Raw genomic sequence first — 25,479 nt, 5'->3', positions numbered from 1 at the left:
CTTTGCAGGAGGGTGTGTTAGGAATTTGAATAAAACACTTGCTCTCTGGAAATTTTTGGTTAAGTTCAAGACAGCATAACTGTCAAAAGTTAATTGCAGTGAAGTGTTGTTACATTAGATCCTTTTCCCCTTCATTTTTTCCTTTTCTATTCATTCATCTAATAATTTATTTAGCAAACAGTTAATGAACACATTGCATTTCAGGAATTGTGGTAGGTGCTGGGGATAGAAAGCTGAATAAATCATGTCTTTATTCAGAGCAAAACTCTAGAGATAAACTATTCGAATGAATGTGATGGAGGCAAAAGGAGCTAGACTGCATTATTGTTTCCAAGTGTTCACTCATCTTTCCAATACAAGGATTACTCATCCTTGCCTATTGCCAAAGCGCACACAGTGCCTCCTATTGATGTTGAGTTGATCCATGGGTTTGTTTTGACCGATTATATGTGACTAGATGTGATAAGTCTCAAATCCAAGAGGCAACTGTAAAAGCTATTGCATGAATCTACCAGCTATTACCACAGAACAGGCAAGTTCAAATAAGGGTTTGTCCTTCAGCCTGATTCCCAGAATGAATGAGAAGGTACATGGAAAAGGGTTCAGCAACCAATCCTCAGCTGCTTACATGAAAGAGAGTGAGAAATGAAGTTGTTGTAAGCCATTGAGAATTTTTGGTGGTAACTTGTCATGGCAAGACTGACGAATACTGTGCTATTTAACCTTCCCTATAAAATTCTAAAAATTAATTATTGAAAAGGTTGTGAATGAGCTGGATTTTAACTTTTTAACCCAGTCAAGTAAGAAGATGGTTCTTATTATTTAAAACAGGATGAGGTCACGTTTTTCTGCAGCAACATGGATGGAACTGGAGGCCATTATCTTAAGTGAAATAGCTCAGAAGCAGAAAGTCAGATACTGCATATTTTCACTTATAATTTGGAGCTAAATAATGTGTAAATATGACATACAATGTGGAATAATAGACAATGGAGATTCAGAGGGTGGGAGGTGGATGATTGATAAAAAATTACTAAATGAGTACAACGCACATTATTTGAGTGATGGTCAAAAGGCCAGATTTCACAAGTATGACATATATCAATGTAACAAAGCTTCACTTACCCCTTAAATTTATACAAACAATAAAAAAGTCATGAGAAAATCCGAGGAAGTACAGACACAGATGATATGTTTGAACAAATAAAGATAGTTTGGTGAAGTCCAAGTGAAAGGGAATATACAGTGAGAGATTAAATTGAAGAGGGAAGAAAGAGTTATGGCTTGTATATCATTCTAAAAAGTTAGTATGCTTATCCTCAAGGCAAAAGGCAATAGGGAACTAAGGAAGGTTTTAAAAAAATGATTTTGTAGTTTGAAAATTATCTATAGTGTCAGTACTTAAAATCCTTTGGAGACACAGACACACACAGACATACGCAAACACAGAGAAGGAAAGAGAGAAAGAGGAGAGAGAATGAGAGAAGAAAGAAATAGAGAAAGTCCTGTTTAAAAGTTGTAGCACATAAAGAAAATGTTATTTGAAGCATCACTTTTGCAACATTTTATTTGTCAGAGCTACAGATCAAGGCCATTCTAGGGAAAAGGGGCAACATTATGGAGAGCTAGAATAAAATTAGAAAGATGATAGATGATAGATAGATAGACAGATAGATAAATAGACAGATAAATGATAGAGTCATCAGGAAGTTGGTGAGACTTCAAAGTAGGGTTCATTTGGGCCTTATGGGGAAATCAGTCTAACAGGAACATAATCAATAGCTAGGTCATTAAGAGACTTACATATGTCCTATGGACATGTTTAGACTTTATTGATTGATAATTTAGGTGACATTGGAATAATTAAAGCAGGGGAATGACATGGTTTGACTGCATTTTAGACAAAGTTTTCCATAAAGAATGAATTGGAAGTAGACAAAGGAGAAAATTTTTACTAGGAAGCCAAGTTCAGGTGTTAGAGTAGTGGTCCAGGTGAGCTTGAACAAAGACCTGAACAAAGGCAGTGGCAATAAAGTTAGGGACAAAGAATTGCATCTGAGGAAGGTTTAGGAAGGTGAATTGACACAGTGTACTCATTGTTTGGTCAAGGGAGGTTAGAATTAAAATTGACTACGTGTCTGGGTGTGTGAATTTGTCCATTTTGTGCCACTAAAACAATACCTGAGAGTAGGTAATTTATAAGGTACATACATTTAATGTTTACAGTTGTGGAGGCTGGAAAGTAGAAAATCAAGGCTCTGGCGTGTTTGGTGCCTCACGAGGGCTGCTCTCTGCTTCCAGGATAGCACCTTGTCGCTGCATCCTCTGGAGAGGAGGAACACTGTGTCCCTGCATGGCAGAAGGTAGAAAGGACAAGCTAGCAAACTCTTAATGAAGCCTCTTTTGTAAGGATATTATTCTCATTTGACAGGGAGGAGCCTGTTGTCAGCAGTGCAAGGTCAGACATAACCAGTATACTTGTTTTGTTTCTCAAGGTCAGACTTTTATTGATGTTATTTCAATCACAAACACCATGAACTTCATAAAGTTCCCAAGTAGGTAATTCTCCTTTGTACTATCTGTTGACTCAGTTGTCAGCCATGGACTCACAGGCTCAAGTCACTCCACAACTTAGTCAATATGGCAAATCATACCTAGTAGTTTACTTAATATACAAATGTTATAGATTAAAATTTCATACCAAACATAGTAACACTTAACATCAAGAGAAAGAGACATAGGAAAGGGGTTAAGGAAGCAATCCAAGGGGAGAAACGTGGACAAAGAGAGTATCCTGGCCTGACCCAGACTGTTGACAATGTCTTGCAAGGAAGAGTCCCTAGCTGCTGATCACTAGTGACAGCAATATGGGATCTGTCAGGATGGCTGTCTTGAGCTGGTGAAGTCCAGATCATTTTATGGTCCATGAGTCCTCTGATGAGGACTAATAATAAAGGGTGACACCCTGATCTGCTTGAGTATTGTCGCTACTGATTAGGCGAACATCTGGCCCCTGTTGGCATGATGCCTCTTGAAATATAAAATGGAGTCTTTTTCTAAGATGAAGTCATATGTCAACACTGTTCTATGCAGAGCCCTCATGGTCTACCCATCTCTTAAAGAACCCACCTTTTAATACTATCACATTGGCAACAACTGAATTTTTGAGAGTACACATTCAAACCATAGAAGTTATCCAGAAAGTCTGGGAAACAAGGATATGTTTAAATGCCCTTTTAGGAATAAGATCCTGTGACATAGAGTCAGGCTAATCCAGAAGTCGGAACCCTACTGGGCATCATCTTGCTCCCACACCAAGGGCCAGCAGAGGCCCTGTGAAAAATGACCTACCTAAAATGAGAAGTCCCAGGTTCAAATATGTTCTGTGCCACTTATCAGTGTGGGGATCTTAGCATACATAATCTGTTGGTCTTCAGTTTCTCAATCTGAAAGAAAACCTTATAAGTGATCTTGTAAGGTTGTGTAGGTATTCAGAGAGACAATGTATGTGAGAACATTGAAAGCCCCATCCCCTACCCTGAATTAGAAGTGGTTATTTTGTACTTTTCTTATTTGAAATTTCATTTTTCCCTGGAATATGTAAATTGGGTATCAAAAGGTAAGAGATGGGCCCAGAATTATCTATAAGAGGTTATTGGAGAAAAAAAAATACTGTAACTTCTGGATTATGAATTGCCGTTGTAACAGACAAGATACTTTGTTTCAAAGATACCTGAGTGGTGTGTACTATGGAAGAATCTGCTGAATTGTCTTGGTAAATTTTAAAGTTATGCATGGAAACTAAAAATCCTTTATCTCATTGCAGATACAAAGAATAGGGAACTATTCACATATGTAAACAATGTCCACAAACTAAAAATTGTAATGGGGTCTGAGGATCCTGAAAATGAAGGTGGGTGTGAATCAAGCATACAGTTATTACCAAAAGATATATTCACTTACCTTTAGGGAATAGTAAATATTTAAAAAATCACTCAGTTATTTTTGCGTGTATAATATATATACACACGTATATATTTATTGTCATGTTTTATCAATGATTTTTGAATTAACTGTATAAAACACAGAGGTCCAGTAATTTAGAATATTTACTCCCCATGCTTTACAAAAAGCTGCCTACATGTTGTTCTTTTTAGTTCTTTTATTTCTAGCAAATTATAGTAGCATCTTCCATGACCACAGACTATTTATCTTAGCAGGAAGCATTAGTAAAATGCATCTGCATACCGTGGATGCTCATCTGATAAGTGCTTCTCTGTGCACTGAATGTTTTTAACTTTCATAAATAGAACAATTTTCCCCCCTGGGTAAAATCTATTTCATAGATTAATATATACCCTTTCATCATTTAAATGGGCTGCAGTTAGAGATCTATGTTTATGACGCTGCTTTGGTGCACTGATAGGTGGATAATACATATTCGGTTCTTTCAAAAGCAACATAGTTATATTATTCACACCATTGCCTTTAATGAGCTGGCTCCGAGCCGTCATCATCAATCTTGACATTTATGCTCCCTTCATATTGTACCAGAGCCTTTTGATGACATAATTTTTGCTTGTATAATATGTGCCGATGTGAAGTATATTAGCCATGAAAAACCTAATTTATAACCCAAAGGGCCAGTTTGACCATTATCTGGAAAAAAAATTAGAAGATCTCACAGTTTCAAAATCAATGCTATTTCAGGGCAGATAAAATATATGTTTAATATCTTACTACTTGGTGAAAATTGCAAGGTTGATTGAAATGCCTCAAAAATAGGGATGAGAGCTGTGCAGTGGAGCAATAGAGGACTTGTAATTTATTTCTTTAATACAGCAGCAGTTTGTCAGGAGTGTCACAAAAATGTGGATTTGGCTTTATTATTGTTTGCACACTGCTCATCACAAATGAATACTTCATCCTAAGGCAGAGAAAACAGAAGAAATATTAACAGTTATTTAACTTGACCACTATTATATTTCAAGGAACTGCGTTGTTACCAGGGTTTTTAGACAAAATACAGAACCCCCAGTTAATCTTAAATTTCAGATGAATAATACATACTTTCTTTCCCTAGCATAAGTATGTCCCACATATGGCAACCCTAGTGGTCAGTGTTATTGGTTTAATGCTGCATGCTGTACCAGCAGAGTGAGAATATGGGTATGGTAGATGTGATGTTTTAAAATCTGCTTAGGTTTCCTTTGATTCTTTGGTAGAATTTATATGAAAATGAATTCTTAAGCATTCTGTATAAATCTCTGATCAGCTATCCAGAAACAACTGAAAGAACAAAATATAGGCTGCACTTAAATTATTCTTTAAGGCAACATTTGTTCCTCGATGTAAGAACATTGCTTATTTTTCAAAGATGTGGCCAAATTTAATAATGGATTTCCCATAAACTTTCTGGAAAATAAGCATGCCTTCAAAGGCATTGTAAGTTAAAGAAAGTCATGATAATGTGCTATACACTAAATTTGTTGGGGAAATAGTTCAAATAAATTATGATCTTGGAATTCTTTTCCATACCATCAGTTAAAGGAGGTGTGTATGGTGTCAAAGCACCTGGTAAATTCGGTCAATTCAATTACCAGTTAGTAAAAAAGTTTATAAACCTAATTATTGACCACGTCTTTAACAAAATGACTGGTACACCTTGTCAATAGTTTATTATTTTTGTGAACCTAATCTTTGATTTTATTCCAAGACTTAATCTTTCATAGCCTAGAACACTTTTGGTGAAATTTTTATATGAGAAAAAAAAACTAAGTAAACCACGAGATCATCCTAACTAGAGCCATAGAGGATATATGAGACCAATAAGAATCATGAGATTATTCCAGCTTGAACTCCAGTTTAAAATGGGTTTTTACACATTAGCAGAACCAGCAGGAATTGAGCTAATCTATACAACAGCATGATTGAAAAGACATAAATTTCTGCAGTCTTTTATGCTATGCTGTTTTGAAGCTATACTGTAATAATTTTGCCCAGTTTTAGTCTTCATATGATATTTAATATTGCTGTTATGAATATGTAGACACTATATTTTGGCTATGAAAGCACATTTATTCATGGCTTTTGTCACAAAGAATCACCAAGATTTAGATGTTTTCTTTTTTTGTTTTGTTTTGTTTTTTTCCAAGGTGTAACCTAGTTTATCCTGACTGACACTCACACAGAGTGGCCACAGAGTAATTAAGGGAACCATGTCAAGTATCTAGTAATGAACACAAATATACAAGTGGTAGTTAATTGAAACAAAAACAAAATTAAAAAAATGAAAGTCTGAATTATTCACAAGTTTAGAAGGTTTTTATATTAAGAAAGTAATTTCTGGCCAGTTGGTTCTTATTTAATGTATTGGACCCACAATTGCAGTGTGAATAGTGATCCATTTTATTGCTCCAGTAGGTCCATGTGACACCTGTATTATGAAATCTGCACTTGAAATATAGTTCATAAATCTCATTTAGTCTCATTCTGCTCCCCAAAATAGGTAACAACTTGATTCATATTGCTTATAACATGACATTTTAATATTACTATTTAATACCTAATTTTTAATAGTTGAACAAAGTCAAAGGCTTTGAGAACTGGTATGATTATACAAAAGGATAGAGAAAATTATTAAAATGTATTGACTGCTATTTCTCACCATTTACATAAAATAGATCATTTTATCATCAGAATATAATGGATCATCTAATCATCAGATAAACTATGCCAGCAAAAATAAAATGGCCAATATCTTAGAGGTAGGGAGTGAAAGTGTGAAATCTGTGTGTTTTTATGACATATCAACTTCTAATCTTCAGTTACCTAGAGCCGATCCTTTAACAAACATAATCTGTGTTTGTCAACCTTGAATGTTGACACTCTGTATGTATCAGGCAGAAGAGGTAGGCTAGGCTTTTGCAACAATCAAGACCAGAAATGTAGTAGCTTAAAGCAGTAATATTTTATTTGTTATTCATGTTACATATCAACCTGATTTGCCTAGGAGAATGTTTTACCCTGTATTCTCACTCTAGGATCTAGCTGTATCTGAAATTTCCTTGATACCTAGGGGGAGAAAAGAACATAGTAAAAACTCACACGGGTACTTAAATTTCCATAGAGAAAGTACTTGTCATAGGTGTGTCATTTGTCACTTTTAATAAACCCACAGAAGTTGCATGAGCCTACCTCATGTTTGGAGAGTACAATCTTTCCATGTACTTAAAAGGAGAGAGAGACAAGAGTATTTGCGTGAACACCACTGATGACACTTATAGACTATTACCTCAATTTCCCAGGCTTCTTTAGAGGAAGGTTTTGGTTTGGTTTGGAAATGGCTGTAAGTACAGCACTGCGAGCTTAGAGCAGGAAGCTGGAATTTAATTAAAATAGCATTTTTTTGCTTATTTCTACTGTAAAGGATTTTTAAAAGTTCTACTCATGTTAACTCCATACAATTGAAAATTTTAAACTTTTTATTGACTTAAACTATAAATTACCTACCTCTCTCCCCCTCTCCTTGTGTCCATCTCTTTCCCATTTTTTTCTGTTCCCTAATAAACTTAATGTTTTTTATCTTTATTTCCCTCAGTCATTTCATTCAGACATAATAAGTCTTGTTGACTTTCACATCAACCATGATGACTCTAAACTTTTGATTAAATATGCTATATAGAAAGTGAGGACAGAGACACTTAATAGGCTTGTTCAAATCTCAGTTGCACTTTGAAGCACACCTCTCAATTTCTCAGGGAATCCCCCACTCTGATAATTGAATAAAGACCCAGAGTTTGACATTAAATCACTGATAGTGGTTTTAAACTGAAAAGCAGTAGTGCAATTAAAGTGATTTTGTCCCAGTTCAGGCTAGATGTTCAGGCACTGTTTATAGGAACCAAACACAATGGATACTTGATTGATTTCTTTCTATAGTTGACTTATTTTCTGAACTAGTCATTTTCCTTACTAAAAATCTTATTTTCTCTTGAGCCATCACTACCACGTCTAACACTGAATAATTACGTAATATATTCTAAATAGACCCTGGATTATGGAAACTAGATCTTACATTCTGATGGTTAATAAATGAAATATTTTTTATTTCAGTATTTTTAGAATATTTTAGAATAAAATACATTTATTTTAGCAAAAACAAACATATTTCCATGTATATTTATAGACATCACTCACCGTCATCATCAGTGAGTATGTTGGAACACATTTGCCAGATACAAGGCTCCTTTATAAGAATGCATATCCTTTTAGCATCATACCAAATAAACATATTTAACAGTCATTTATTTACCTATGATATACATTTGTGTATTTCCAGGCCTTATTCTAGTTCATGACATTTTAACAAATAGTCACGGTACCTGGTATCACCTTATTCGTACCTGATGTCACCTCCCTGGAGTGCTGGACATGGGAGTTCTCACAACAGTGGTAGCTATGATGGGGTAGAAGGAAAGACTTCAAGCTAAACATGCTGTCCACAGTAAATGTGCTCAGGTATGGTGTGGTCAGAGGACTGCTGGGCTGAAAGAGGACCAATATTTTACTGGTAGGTGTAAGGGAGTGGCACGGGAAAAGGATGGACAGGGTGCTGAATGCAATCTTCATTTGTTCTAAAATTCTATTCTAGACAGGACTTATTTTTTAGTACAGGTGATGAAAACAGGTATGTTATTTGCTAGCTTTTGAATCTGTTTGTTTCTAGTGATGGTGATGGTGCTGGTGGTGGTTCCAGTGAACCACAGAGGACTTTGTGTTGACTGTGCATTGGGAACACAGTTCTTACACACAGTCCAGGGCACATAAGTGACAAGTGTCTGCAACTCAGGGCCGTTGCAATAAGGTGGCAGGTGGGTAGGATACCATCCTGGCAATCTCTCGCCCTTTATCTGGCAGTTTACAAATTCATCCTTAAAATAAGTCATTGTTGAATGCCTTTCACCCCTGGCGTCTGTAAGCATTCCCAGTTTTACCAGAAAATAGTCATATTGACTTGTTACTCAGATGGTTGGAAGCATTCTTATGTCTAGACTGGTTGTCTGTCTAATGAAATCTCATTACATTTATTTTGATCATTCTCAACCTTATATATTTTTTTGAATTCTTTAGTGACAACTTTATCATACGTTGGCCTCAGCTAAACCCCCAAAGGGCAGTGGGGTTCTGTTTTCTTGATAGATGGAAAGATTTCATATTTTTTTATTCAAGTCCAAACAGAAAGCTTGAATAGATTTCTTCATAGACAAGTGTTTATGTAATGTCTACTGTCTACCAGTGAGGCTTTGTGCACAGTACTAAGGACACGCAAATAAATCAGGATGCCCATAGCTTATTGATGATGACAGCGAGGTTCATGTTTGGAATACCAAGGAATAGGAAGGTGATCAAGAAGGGCTTCAGAAATGTTTCCCTGATTAGGGTATTATTTATGTAAATGGTCAAATTACTTTTTTGGCAAAATCCTTTGACCTATTTTATCTTTCTTGTTCTGAAAAGATACCTCAGTATCAAAGAAAGTTTGTATTGGTTGGTACAAAAGTAATTGCAGTTTTTGCCATTAAAAGAAATGGCAAAAACCACAATTATTTTTGTACCAACCTAATATAACTTAAAATTTGTAAATCGATGATGGGTAAGTTAAATTAATTATGGATTTATTTATCAGTTATGCTAAAGTATACCACACTTTAATAAAAATGGTTAAGACATTTTAATCATGAAATCCTGGAATTAATATACTAGGAATGACTTAGCTTTACAATTGGTCAGACATCACTATCTTGCAATCTTTTGAAACATTTACCATGCCTCCTATAGTAGTGGATCCACCATGATTCCTGTTTTACTGCTGTCAGAATTATACCATTTGAATTAATGCCAAGGTCTGTACGGTATTTATTAGTTAATACGTAGGTCATTTAAATTTTAAATTCACAACTCTACTGTTGAAGGTGAATAATCAAGTAAAGAATGAAAAGAAAATCCTCTCGTTAAGCCATATAGACCTAAATTCATGATAACTTGTACATATGAGTGTACAATTGACCCTTTTTTTCTCTTGCTAAAAAATACACTTTAAAATTTACTAGGAACACGTTGTAGTAAAAGAGAGAATGAGAATAAAATAATTAAAATAATTTCATGCATATTTAAGGGAATGGTAAAATCTTATGTTTTTACATGTGTTTCTGTGGTGATTCCTGTAATAAGAAGAATGCTGACTGTTAGGAATTTTTTTAATGTGAAATTGATTTTGAACATTCCTGCTAATATTTGGTAATGTCAAAAAAAAGCCTCAAAGTAGCTAAAGAACAATGGGTACTTGATTGCCTTATGGAGTTTATGCTTTTATATAGATTAAAAAACTGTCAAGTGTGTGTGCACGCGCGCGCACGTGCAGGCATGTGTGTGTGAGAGTGTGTGTGTGTGTGTGTGTGTGTGTGTGTGTGTGTGACTGGCTTGAGGATAAAGCTGTGAGGTGTGAAGCATAAACAATAAGAGCATTCCTCTTTCCCCCCTTGGATCTGTCAGTTCTCATCTCTTGTAGGATGACAAAGATGTTTTTGTCTTAAAGCAATTGGTTTAATACAGTCTTACTGAGTCCAAATTGCTGACAAAAAGAGGATTTTGTTTTTCATTATTTCATGAGGTGAAGTGTGAAGTCACTTTATGAGGTGAAGTGAGATTCCAAAGGTGCATTTTATTTGTTTTATTTGTTTGAGTGTTATAAATGATTTGGGACTTTTCTGCTCTTCTTTTCTCTGACCATTGCAAAAAGACCTGTTGGTGGAGAAAGAAAGAAAAACTGGATTCACAAATATTAAGGATTTTACTGAAATGCCAGTGTTCTCAATGTCTGTTTGAACAGTTGTTAGGTTTAAAAAAGAGCATGATGAATATCAATTTTTGTGCCCTTTGTTAGCTTGAGATAGAATAAGAAAGCATTAAAAGAATTTTCAGCTGCTTCTGATGATGAAGGTTCATCTAGAGCCCACCATAGGTCTTCATTACAAAGCGTCTGAGTTTCCCAATTGTTTCCTCTGCCTCTGTTCTTACCTACCCAGATTATAGACATGTCTTATCACTTTGTATACTTTTCCATGATACTCAGCATGTAGTAGATACTTATAGTAAATATCATGTAATTATTGTTTTACAAGAGTATAACAGAGGTTTTAAAATACTGAACAGTAGTGTATAACGTGAAGATTGATGACTGTTGCCATAGAGCTCTGCCTCTCAGACTTTCTGTGGTTCAGAGAAAGTGTGTGTGTGTTTGTGTGTGTGAGTGTGTGTGTGTGCGTGTGTGCGCTTTCCTAATCTGCCACAGAGCAGAAATAAAATAACAAAGACATATGTGGGAATGCAAACTCATATAGTCATTATGGAATATAGAATAGAGGATCTTCAGAAAATTAAACAATAAAACTACCATATGACTAGCAATTCCACATCTGGATATATATCCAAAGGAAATAAGATCACTAATCTCAAAGAGATTTCTGCACTCCCATGTTCACTGCAGCATTATTCACAATAGCCAAGATATGGAAACAACCTATGTGTTCATCAATAGATGAATAGATTTAAAAATGTAATATGCACATAAACACACACACAGTGGGATACTTTTTAACCTTAAAAACCAAGGAAATCCTGCCATTGGTAACAACAGGAATAAACCTGTAGAACGTTATGCTGAGTGAAATAAGCCAAACATGAAAAGACAAATACTGCATGATCTTGCATTTATGTGGATTCTAAAAAAGTTGAACTTATAGAAACAGAGAGTAGGAGGCTGGTTACCAATGGTTGTGGATAGGGAGAAATGGGGAGTTATTGGTCAAAGGGTACAATAAGATGAATAAATTCTGGATACCTAATGTACAGCATGGTAACTATAGTTAATAATGAAGCATTGTATATATAAAATTTGCAAAGACAGTAGATACTAAATATCGTTACCACAAAAAAAGAAAAAGGTTTACTGTGTGAGATGATGAGTATTTTAATTTGATTTATTATGGTAATTCTTTCACAATGTATATGTATATCAAGACATCTTATACAGCTTAAACATATAAAATTATTATTTGTCAATTATATCTTGATTGGAGGAAATCAAGTTGGAGGAAAAAAGACATATAAAATACAAGCCAATATCTTGGTCTTGTGACTCAGCAACCATGAAATTCTTCTCCAAAGTACCAGAAATACCTTGAAATGCTGTCAACTTCTATACTTAAGTTATGGCAGACAGGTAAGAGATTGTGGACCAACTATGTATTTATAGACTACACTTTGAGAAGTAGTGGGTTAAATCACAGATAATTAGGTTTTTATTTCCATCCATTGAGTGAATTATAATGTCACTGGAATTAAGTGTATTTTGTCCAACTCCAAATATGTAATATTAAGACAAAAATGTCTTCAAATTTCATAATTGTATGTGTGTGTAGTAGTGGCAGGAACCTGTGTTATTTTGTAACTAGATATTTTGATTTCTAAGGAGGAAAGATTTTCTTTTCTTTTTTCTTTATTTTTGGTAAAAATTATTTCTCAGATGCAAATTTACATATAGAATTAAAACATTGTAAATGACCAGAAAGTAGCTTCTTGATGTATTGATAGTTAAGAAATAGAGGGCAGAGATGTTAAAAAATTTGGTGATTTTCATGTGAAGTAAGATTCCATGTGAGCCTTCTTATGTGAATTAGCTCAAGAAATTTGAGAACTAGAGAAATAGAGACCACATGATCCCACTTTTAAAACACAGACCAAAAAAACACATTCTTTTACATACATATTAATTGTGTACATTGTTTGTGCTTGGAGAGCAATGTGTATAATCCACAAATGCTAGTTAATGCCTGGGAATACAGGTGAGATTAAAGGGTTAGATATGTCTATAAGATAAAAGAGGCAGTAGTAAACAGGAAAACTATACAAAAATGTAGAATACAAAATGTATTTAGATAGCAATACAATATGTTCTTATTAAATGTATACATAAACAATGAGTAGAAAATTGCCCCAAAAAATCCTTTACTCAATTTTGGGTGGAATTGTTGACAAATATCCTTGGATCTCCATTACTATCATCTGAATGAAGTAATTATTTTTCTCTCTCTTTTTGACTTGTATTGTGTTTCATAAATGTGAACTAGATTAGACAAAAGATTTGAAGCAATTTCTTTATATATTTCTCTCTCTGTCCATCTCTGTATCTACCTGTCTGTCTGTCTAGGATTTGATATTGCTCTAATGTTTGAACAGAATACAGAAATACCAGGTGTCTCCAGCTCTAGAACTGGTTTGGATTGAAGGGCTATCTAGTGGAGAGAGAGAAGCTGCTAGGTAGGGATCATAGAAGAGTTACATAGAAAGTGCCAAGGAGTCACCATGAGGAGGGGAGGGGATGTAGTAAACTCCTAGTTGTATCCTATTAAAGTGAAAGACTTGGGCAGGGGTCTAGTAGCAGCCCTTCAACAATTCAGAAGTTATTGGTCAGTGAAATTGGCCCCGGTATTGGAAATCACAGAGAGGTAAACACCAGTCTTCAATGTACAGACATCTGTTGGGGGTTGGAATTCAGGATGAGAGCTATGGTGAGAAGGAATGTGTTCTCATAATGAAGACTGACATCCGTCCTTTCTAGTAGAAGCCAGTGGAGCTGTCCATCCAGGACACGAGGCTATGTGTCCTCCCTCTGCATAATAATCAACTTTTCTAGTGTAGACAGAAAAAGCTTAGGAAATCAAATCTGTTCCTTGAGGCCTAGGTATTTGCTGGTGAATGCACAGGAGGATTAAACCCTTTGAAAAGTCCTCAGAGATACTTTCAGTGTTTGGGACTCTACTGTTCAGAAGTAGCCTGCAAGGGAATGTGCAGTCATGTTTTGGGAAGTACGGTCCATGCCGTCTCCCCCTGCTACACTCTACACAAGGTTAGTGTCTTCTACATGTTGGGTAATTGGGAAGGTGCTGGGCCCCAGGAAGTAAAAGCCAAAACCTGCATAGTAGCCAGCCTTCCAGTTATTTATTTTCCTTACACACTTAGGCATACTTTGAAAAATTAAATGGAAAGTTTGGGCAATTACCTCAAGAATTTAGCCTAAAACAGAACAAAACACAATTAAAAAAATCAAGATGATATATATTTTATTTTGTATTGTTGATATTCAGATTTTTCTAAAATGGTTTTAGTTTCTCTTTCGTTTATCATTTTCAAAAATGCACAAATTTGCCATCATCTCTCATGAGAGGCACTACTAATGCAGTGACCTTTTGAGTAAGGTCACCACTCCATTGATTGTGGTTATGGACATATCTCTATTAAGTCAGGCTCTGATTGGATAGATTTAGCTGCTTTTTATTTTAGAAAACGTTATACTTGACAATTAGGATTTTCTATCATAACATTTTAACAGTTATAAATATTGAATTAATAATACACTAATGGTATTTTTTAAATAATGCATATACTGTGTTTGATCTTCATATGGTAAGTAGAGAGAAACATATGAGAGTAACAACTTGCGTTACTTCCATCTTTTAAGTGTTGAATCAGGCACGTTTCTCTAGTCTTATAAACTCTAAAAGCTCTTCTTTGTGTTTGTTAACACAAAACAGAATTTTCAGACTATTGCTTATACTTGTTTTATTTAATGTGAATTCAGGGTTTAGATACATATACTCACAGAGTGCAATTGTGATACTCAAAGAGCTTCATTGAATTTATTTCCCTTAGAAAAGGTTAAATAGGGTTGAAATATTTGAGCACTTTATTTTCATTTTTTCAAATATCTAGATCAGGGGTCAGACAACTACACGCATAGGCCAGATCTGGCTTGCTGCTTGCTTTTTTTTTTTTTTTTAATAAAGTGTCATGAGATTGCAGCTACACCTACTTGATTCAGTATTATCTAGGGCAGCTTTTGCACTATAATGGCAGAGTTGAGTAGTTGTGCCGGAAACCGTATGGCCTGCAAATACTAAAATCTTAACTCACTAGCCCTATGCAGAAAAAGGGTGCCAGCCACTCATCTAGGTGAATAAATAAACTTCATGTAAAGCTCTAGAATTTTTAAGTAGTATGAATAGAACATTGATGTGTTAACTGAGTATGCACTGAAGATATAGTTTTATGTCTTCCAGGAACAAAATATATAAATGGAAAAATCTGTCAGTGAGTCATGAAAAATATTTCTAAAGGTGGACACTTAATTTAAAAATCTAACCTGTGTAGGGATTCCAAAATGTGCCAGCCACTGGTTTCTGTCCTTTACATGTATTTTCTTATTTAAGCATCACAGCAATCCTATGAAGTAGGTACTAATATAATCCTTCCTTTACAGATGAGGAAACAGAAATATTAAAGAATTTGGTGTTGCTCATGAGGGTATCATCAGTAGAGCTGGCTTTGAACTCAGGAAAACTGATTTAATAATCAGCATTCTTCACCATCACCTTTTCTCTATGTAGCAACAACAAAGGAAAGTTTCATAATGGAATTTTTAACAGCTTATGGAGGTATAATTGATATGCACATTTAATGTATACTATCAGATGAATACACTGCTGATACTCTCAGCACAACCAAGGTAATACATGTAAATCCATCACATCCATAAGTTTCCTTGTGTCCTTTCTGTGGCAAGAATGCTTAACTTGAGATCTACACTCTATACATGTTTAAGTGCACAATACCATGGTGTTAGTTTTAGGCACTATGTTGTACAGATTTCCACACTTACTTATCTGGCAAAACTAACACTTTATATCTGCTGAACAATCCTCTATTTCCCCCTCCCATTCCCAGGAAACCACCATTCAATTCTCTACCTCCATGTTTCTCTATTTAGATAACCTCATATAAGTGAAATCATACAGGATTCGTCTTTGTAAGACTGGCTAATTTCACTTATTATTAATAAACAAAAGATAACACATATTGGTGAGGATGTAGAAATATTAGTGAAATGTAAAATGGTACACTTGTTTTGGGAAACAATATGGGGGCCCTGTAAAAAATAAAAATAGAACTAGTATATGATTCAGCAATTCCACTTCTGGGTATATATCCAAATGAATTGAAACAAGGATCCTAAAGAGATTCTGCACTCCCATTTATATTGCAGCAGCATTCACAACAGTTAACATATGGAAATAACCTAATTACCCATCAGCAGGTGATTGTAATGGATAAAGAAAATGTGATACATATGTACAATGAAATATTATGCCGCAACATGGACTTTTAACATATTGTGGATTATATAGTTTGATATGTTGATGGTAATCTATAGGGTTATATTTGCATTTGTTGCCATATAGCCTATTATTCATAATTAATGTACAGTCTTATTAATTTTACTTATATGTAACTCATGATTAATACTTTTATGTTCAATATTTGAAAGGAGAGGTCTCTCTGTACCTGTACCTAAGGAAAATATTGCTATTATGAGTTTTACATTCTCTGCTAGTTGTTTAAAATGCTGTAATCTTAGACATAAATTGAGAACAGTTAACTATGTAAATATCCCTGAAAACTTTGCTTTGAACATAGTTGTAATGTCTTTCTTTTGAGACAAGGGTGAAAAAAAGCTAGGTTGACAAAATGAAATAAAAAGGTACAATTAAATAAAATTATAGGTAGCTCTTTATGTAATCATTTTGCTGAAAATTACAGGGTTTCTCTCTCTCACATAAAAAAATGTTTTACCAGAATTGTTTCTCCAACTTTCCTCTGGTAACATACTAATAGTTATACATTGGCAGTGTGATCCAGAATTGAGGTAATTATGGTGTAAGTTTAGGCTAAAAATATGCACTCATCTGAGGTATTTGGTTAAGTGAGGCAAAAATAAATATAAAATGTAAAGGCTTTAAACCTCATTCCACTTGATAGCTTGGCTTTATAATTTGAAACTCACACTTTTTTCTAGATTAGTATCATGAATTAGTCTCCTGCTTTCTGGAGTCTAATAATTCTCTCACAGGAAGCATGCCAGGGCATTTCCCTGTGTTTCGATCTGAAATATTTTAAACTACATATATTATGAACTAACTGGGCATTTGTCATTTAGAATACAGTTTGGAAAGTGTTCTGAAAAGTAGTCACTTTTTAAAAAAATCTACATACATAGTCTGTGTGGGTAGAATGACTGGGTAACACATATTTGTCTCTCCTAATGTAATCTCATCGTCACACACTTATCATTACTGAACACTCTTCTGTATTTAGTACTGTATAGATAATTGTACAGTATGATAAAGACAAACTTGTAGAGCAAGGTCTTTAAACAACATGGATAACAGCACATTTTGCTATTGGAATAAGTAACTTAAGCTCTTCCCTTTGAGTCTTTTTAAAGTCTTCCAGAAGCCCCTTGCGCACCTTCCTCACATTGTGGTAGTTTCTGTGTTGTCAAGTCTATCATGGAATCACAAAGCAACAGACATCCCAGCTTCCCATGTCTGTGGAGAGAAAACTTGTCATTTAATTTCCACCAATCAGTGCCCACATGGTAGGCTTTGGGTAAGACATGAGCTAACTGAGGGAACAGGCACATGCCATTTGCTGATCCAGGTGTTGGGGGTGGTGGTGGCAGCTGCCTGACAGTGGTATTATGTGAGGCTTACAACATGACAGTGTCTGCATCTTTGCCAGGGTATTTTGGTGTAATTCTTGGTCTTAAAAATTTAGCCTAGAAAATTTCTCTCTAGCTATGCAGTAATTCTGTGAATTCTGAATATCTCTTAAGTCTATACCTTTCAAAATGAATTAGAGTGAATTCTGTGCATGCGTGTATGCACAGCTGAACACTCTAAAACAACAGTAACAACAGGAAACCTAATTAAAAATTAGGCATCAAATTCTTAGGTCAGAGTCCAAAGTGTTGAGAGCAAATTAGAAGTCAGTTCATAGTCAGGAGAACGAGATGAAGTCCCAGGATTTGCACTTGAAGTTCCACTTCCTGACCACATCCACATAACACAATAATTCCTCCTCACTTGCTCTAACAAATGTCCCCATGTAAAGATGTTCTATGTCATTGAGATCTTCAACCTATGGATCCAGATGACTGACTGTCCACGTTCATTTCTCTCCTTACTCAGCTTAGATTCCATAAACCCTATTTAGATTCATCCTTTTGTGAACATCATTACATTTCTAACCTCCATTTTTCTCACCAATATAAAAAACTGGATAAACTTGGTTGTCTGTCTGTCTCATGCCTACATTTGCAGCTAAACATTTCAAGAGAAAATTATATTAAGCTTATTGATATTTACTAGTATATATTTAAAATCTCTAACCTAAAATGAAACAAACTACTTATGGTTTTATAATACGTTTAGCACAGTTAATCCTTGAATGACACAGATTTGAACTGCACAAATTTACTTATAGGAAGATGTTTTTCAGTAAAAGTTACCCAGAGTGTGCCTGCCTCTCCTACCTCCCTTTCCACCTTCTCCACCTTTTTGGATTCTGCCACCCCGAGACAGTAAGACCAGCTCCCCCACTTCCTCCTCTTCCTCAGCCTACTCAATGTGAAGGTGACAAGGAAGAAAACTTTTATGATAATTCACTTCCACTTAATGAATAGGAGATATATTTTCTCTTTTTTATGATTTCCCTAATTAACATTTTCTTTTCTCTAGTTTACCTTATTGTAAGGATACAGTATATGATATATATAACATAAAAATATGTGTTAATCGATTGTTTATGTTATTGGTAAGGGTTCTGGTGAACAGTACAGTATTAGTAATTACACATCTGGGGAGTCATAAATTATATATAAAATTTTTTTTTATATTATATATTATATATTATATATTATTTATTATATATTAATTTAATAATATAATTTATATATAATCTATATAATTTATATATAAATAAGCACACATATTACACACACACACACACACACACACACACACACACACACACATATATATATATGCATGGTTGTTTTTGTTTTTTCTCCCTAAAATAAAGGGAATACTTCGGCAGGAAAGTCCTAGAAAGTTGGGCTTCATCATTACTGTTGAAATGTGTATTCACAACCTATGACAGAGCCTGGGATAAAATTGATGTTTAATGAATATTTGTTATATGGGGAAATATCTGAATGAATGAAGTAGAGGACAAATTGACCCTTTTAATACTTCTGTATGGAGAAATCACCTTAAGACTTTCTGCTTTTTTTAATTTAAAAAAATGAAGGATTCTCTCCACCTAAATAGAGTGAAAGGATAAAAACATCAGCTAGGGTATGGTACAGAATATTTTTGGAATTTAATGTTTGCTTACTTTTTTCATATTGCTTTTTATTTTTCTTTATGATCTATGCACCACCTGTTACAGAAATCCCCAGTAGCATCGACCATAAAAGGAATTCCTGCCATGCTTCTCTGGAAAACCACTGTGATTTGCTTATATGCAAACGATATTTGGAGTTAGACTTTTTTGAAAGAAGAGTGCTTGAAGGCCAAGTTTTCTTGGTCAGTAAATTTCATCGACAATGTGTTAGTACCATTTCATCTAAGTTGTTGAGGCAATGTTAATGTTGGTGTACAAATAATTGTCTTCCCTAAAATATACCAGGAATTCATCCCCTTTTCATGGTTATGTATAAGCTATAAAGTCTTCAAAGCCACTCTAAACCAATGGATACCACAATGCTAAATTTTAGATTTATCTGGAATATTGAACTAAGGCTGCCACATCACAACCTACTTTGGGATTTACATTGTAGCCTCTCAGAAGGCAAAGACAACTGAAGTTTACAGCCTCTCTAATAATTAATGTTACTAAGTGGTATGTTTAATATTTTGTTTTTTCCCCAAATATTTATTGGCTTTCTAGCATTTTATAGAAATACGTTATATAGTTGCAGTATTTTAATGCACATGCATATAATGTGCTGTAGAATATATGTGTGTGTGTGTGTGTCGTGAAATATCTAAACTATCTTTCTATATATAATATATATAAAAAAGGGTGAAAAATCTTGCTTCTCTCTCCAAATATCCTCATAATCTCATTTTTTGATGTAACCATGATTAATAGCTAGGTTGCCTTCTTCTAGAGATTTATGAGTCAAACAATATTTATTTAATGTCTTCTATGTGCTATGCATTATTGAGTCAGGTTAGAGCTAAATAGGCAGGCAGACCAAGATAGGTACTTTATTACAATAAAGTTGTTGCCTTATATACCTGTAGGTAAACACACTCCCCAGTTTTTCACTCAGTGATTTACCAATGATATGCTTCCATGTTGATATGTCCTAGTGTCCTTTATTCTTTTTAATAGGCACATATATATCTGTATATATATTTTTGTATATATTCTATATCTCCCTTGTTTTTTAACAGGAAGACATTTATGTTGACAAAGTCTATATTTGATCATGGCCCTTTATATTAAGTTGTGTCTAATAATTTGTTCTCATAAATAATGTTGCAGTGAACAATGAAGATCTTTGTTAGAGCTTATAATGGTGGATTCATAGCAGGGATTATTCAGTTTTGAAAAGGTGGAAACAAATAAAATCCCTTATAAATTGTAAGGCTCCGTGAGAAAATACAAAAATATTTCCGTAGATAGGGAGAGCTTGCTTCTGAGAAGAAAGTTGCCTTGAAAAAAAAAGAACTTTTCGGCTTACCATTCAAAACAGTTTGGGCATTGTTTTGTGTATTCAAATATAATAATTAAAACAGAGATAAAAGTCGAAGGATAAAATACAGAGGTACAACAACGTCATATACTAAGGAACAGCAAACTGGTATAATAAAAAGAGAATAGTGCATACTATAACTGCAATCTGTTGTTAAAGTACAATTAAGGGCATCTGGAGAAAGAAAATAATAACTGAAATAGAATAAAACATGAAACTCAGGAGGAACACAGTGTGGGTCAAAAGATTAAGTTATTTTCCAGCAGTTATTTTTGTCTCTTTCTAGACATTTATATTTCTGATATTCTTTGAACATTAAATGACAAACATAAAAAGTCACATGATATTGCGTTGACTATACAACTCCTGTAATTAATTCTTAAACAGAGTGCTCACTTTAGATTTCACTATTTTAAGAAAAACTTATGCATATTGGAGACACATCCTCACTCTGCACAACTCCAATATGCATATGTCTCAATTAATAAAGCATTGTGCAATGTGAATACTGGCTGCATTATTTTACATTTGGAAAGTTGATATATTTTTACTGATCTTTATTTTTAACAATCACATAGTTTATTTTTTTCTTAATCTAGTAGGCTTGAGGGCAGTTTGGAAAAAAATGAAATAATTTGACCAGAAAAAAATTGTATGCAGGATCATCATAGACTCCAAAATCATCTTGTTATGCTTACTACATGCTTCTGCATATGAACAGCTTAGTCTAATTATTTTCAACTTATCTTATTAGAAGTATATGACTTAAATCTAAATATATTGAATGTATTTGTATGTTATTATCATAGAACTTAAGATGTCACCTCCTCTTCCTTGTCAGAGAAGACAGAAGCTTCTTCCACAGTGTGGTTCCACTCTCTCGTAGCCATCTCCGTAACAGCATAGTAGTGAACATGACTGACCCACTGAGTTTGACTTGAGAAGGAAGAGGGTGTCTATAGGTGATGGACAGAAGGTAGACTGGCTATCAAATCTTTTCAGGATGTTTACTGTTTGTTCTACATGCAGGAACAACTTTCAAATATTTCTCTCTCTAAAGTGAGTACAAGAAAAACATAAAAATTAGAGTAGAAATCAATGAAATTTAAAATAGAGAAACAATAGGGAAAATTACTGAAGCCAAAGATTTGTTGTTTTGCAGATTTGAGAAAACCTGCAAAATTAATAAAGTTCTAGTCATGCTAGCAAAGAAAAATAAATGAAGATACCAATGACCAATAGGAAATAAAGAGGGGTCTTCACTGTTGATTCCATAGACATTGCAAGGATAATATAGAACTACTACAAACAATTGTTATCCATAAATTCCACAACTTAAGTAAAGTTGTTGAATTTCTTGAATGACACTACCTACAAAAATCACTGAAAGAGAAACAGATAATCTAAAAAGCTTTAGACTTAATAAGCAATTGAAATAGTAGTGTAAAACTTTCCCAAAAGAAAACATTAGGCCAGTATAGTTTTATTGGTGACTTCTACAATACATTGATGAAATAATTAACAGCAATTATATACGACCTCTCAGAAAATAATGGATGTTTTGTTAGTAGCCAAACTAGACAAATATATTACAAAATCCTAAAGATCATTACCTCTCATGAGCATAGATGCAGAAATACTTAATACTTAGTATTAGCAAATTCAATCTGGCAATATTTAAAATGAATTTTAAAGACTATGACCAAGTGGGGTTCATTCTGGGAGTGCAAGGATATTTCATCATTTGTAAATACAGAAGTATAATTTATTACATTAATATAACTCTAAATGTTATAAAGTTAAAAATAGTATAAAAATATAATAATTTATTATATTAACAGACTTAGAAAAACATGTGATCATCTCAATAGTTGCAAAATAAGCAATGAAGAATATGCAATGCTTATGATAAAACACCACAAGAACCTGCACATCTTGCACATGTACCCCTGAACTTAAAGTTATAAAACAAACTAAAAAGCTAGAAATAGAACGGAAGTGCCTAACATCATAAAGGGCATAGGTAAACAAAGAAACTCTACAGCTAGCTTCATACTTAGTATCTGGAGACGAAATATTTTCTAAGATTAGAAACAATGCAAGGATATAATCTCACCATTGTTATTTAACACTGTACCAGAATTCCCAGCTATTGTGATAAAGGGAGAAAAAAAGGAAAAACCATACATATAAAAAAGGAAAAGAAGGAATAATTTATATTTATTTGCAGATGACACAGATGCCTACGTAGACAATTCCAAAAAACTGCAAACAAGCACAGCAAACCATTTCTGGAACTAGTGAATGAGTTTAGCAAGATTACAGGATACAGTGCCAATGTCCAAAGTCAATTTTTTTAATATATATATTGTTCATTCTTGCCATGAAAAACTGGAATTTGAAAACAAAATCAACACAAAAACCCTATATAGCAGCAACAAAAATGGAAGTAGTTAGATATCAATTTAAGAAGTAAAATATGTACAGGATATATGTAGAGAGAAAACCAGGAAACACTGATTGAAGATATCATAGAAGATCTAACAAAATGGGGAGATGAACCAACTTTATGGATTGGATGACTCAATATTTTTTAAAAATGTCAGTTCTTTCCAATTTTATCTAAAAATTCAATGCAATCCTATTCTAAATAATAGTAAGACTTTTTTTGGAGATACCCAAAAATTGATTCTAAAATTACATGAAAAGGCACAGTTACTAAAACAGCCAAAACAATTCTGAAAATGAACAAACTGAGAAGACTCATCTTACTCAATTTACAGAGTGATAAAATTAGAGTTAATAAGACAGTTTGAAAGGATATACACATGGCTCAATGTAACTGAGTTAGAGTTATCTTACGGTGATGGTTAGTTTAGAATAATAGTTCAACTTATGCTAGAACCTTAATGAAGGCTTCTTTACAGGCCAACAGTGCTTAGTTAGGAATATACGGAAATGAAGAAAAGTAAGCAAACTCTGTTAGGCATGAAAAATAGTATTTTCTCTCTAAATCCTAACTGAAATTCAGACAAAGGAGTAACAGTTTATAAAATATATATCATGAATCAAGTTGGACATTACATTTGTAAATTCAGATACAAACAAAAATTATGAGAGGATAAACATGTAAATTGGTTAATTGGTTCAGAATAAAAATCACATAAATTACTAGGAGCTGGGATAGCAATATGCAGAATAATTCTTTCAATCCAAAAAAAATTTTGGTTGGTGAAATGAAGAAATAAATCACTCTATATTAAAGATTATAGAATATTTTTTCTCTGCTTTCAAGGAAAAAATAACAAGAATGTATATCACATCCATGATAATAAAGATTCCCTCACATGGGATCATTTTTCAGAGACTGAAACTGTAATTGATTTTAAAAATTCCACCAGGCACGCTAAGAGTCAAAACATAGGAAGAAACAATTATGATGGATGGCTATGGATGCGCCTCCCATTAGATCTGTGTTTGAAATAACTGAGATAAAGGTGGACATTTCTCTCCCTTATTTGTTTAGTTTTATATGTTCATTTCACCTCTTGCTTGCACAGCATACACCAATTTGTATTCTCAAGTGGTAGCTTTGTGTCTAGGATTCAATGTGAAAAGAATATACATTTTCTATTTTTTACAAATTGAAAGTGGCAGCATGTCATCTACCACACAAAGAAAAATTAAGGGTGAGTGATAGGGGCATGGTTGTGCCAATGACTTCGAACCAAACACCACTGGGAACACATCTGCAACTGAACAGGTTGGTTTAAGACACAGTGAAGTGAGGAGAAACACACAGCATGGGGAACTGTGGGATGTCTTAGTAAGATGTCAGGAAGTACTTATGTGGGCCTGAGTTAGGTGATCTTGGGAAGGGTTTAAGGAAGCAGGACTTTGCTATGGATTGGATGCTGTCAGGGAATTGAGGGTAGTACTAGGACTGGATATTTCAATATACCTTTCCTAGAAGAAAACAAATGACTAGACATAATACATGAAGGAACAACAGCTAGTATAGTCAGCATGGCCACTTTTGTGGTTTGGGCAACACAATAACAGAAAAATTTATCTTAATCCTCATTGTTCATAAGTCCAGATCCTTAGCATGGCTTTTGAACTATATTCACTTTGACATCTTTATTTGTTCAGGCTTTAATCTTTAGTGCCTGTCAAAATGGTCTTCTTACTACTTTTTTCCCAATTTTAAAATGTCATATTTCTTTTTTAAAATGTGAACTGCTTAACCCTTTCTCCCTCCATCCCTTCCTCCCTTCCTTCTTTCCTTCCTTCTTTCCTTCTTTCCTTTTTACTCTTTTGTTTCTTCCTTCATAACCTTGATCCCTTCTTCTAGGTAGCTTTAGCATTTCAATGAGATCTCTCCCTGCATTGTATGCACAGCTAGTGTTATAAATTCTATTTTGAAAATTAATAAGATTTTGTTTAGTAACAGTTTCATAGCCTTGTTGATAAGGTATACATTTCTGGCATTGCCACTTACATTTTTGTGTTTGGTCTTTATATCCCCAACTAAATTTGCATTAGTGATTTTGAAAAAAAATCAAACATCGCAAGTATTTATGACTTTTGTCACATCATTTTTTTATTCCTTATAACACTAGCACTATATTTTATAGAATATAATACTTTGATAAATATTCATTAATTTGATTTGCTGGTATGTATGCTACAGTGAAACAACCTTATATCACTGTTCATAAAACCTCCTTATAATTGTTTTAAATGGTCTATTCCCA

The 25,479-nt window shown here is 34.1% G+C and overlaps 1 long non-coding RNA gene across 1 annotated transcript; it reads right to left on the bottom strand.

The window, feature by feature from the left end:
- Positions 1-8,476: 8,476 nt before the first annotated feature.
- Positions 8,477-21,636, bottom strand: LOC105374659 (uncharacterized). The gene is made up of 3 exons (XR_925798.3): positions 21,547-21,636; positions 17,425-17,504; positions 8,477-8,547 (listed from the first exon to the last, which is right to left on the bottom strand). It is a non-coding gene; the product is annotated as an uncharacterized LOC105374659 (long non-coding RNA).
- Between the last annotated feature and the right edge of the window lie 3,843 nt (positions 21,637-25,479).

The sequence above is a fragment of the Homo sapiens genome, chromosome 5, assembly GCF_000001405.40.
Source record: "Homo sapiens chromosome 5, GRCh38.p14 Primary Assembly".
NCBI lineage: Eukaryota > Metazoa > Chordata > Mammalia > Primates > Hominidae > Homo > Homo sapiens.
This window is presented reverse-complemented; position numbering and strand designations above follow the sequence as displayed.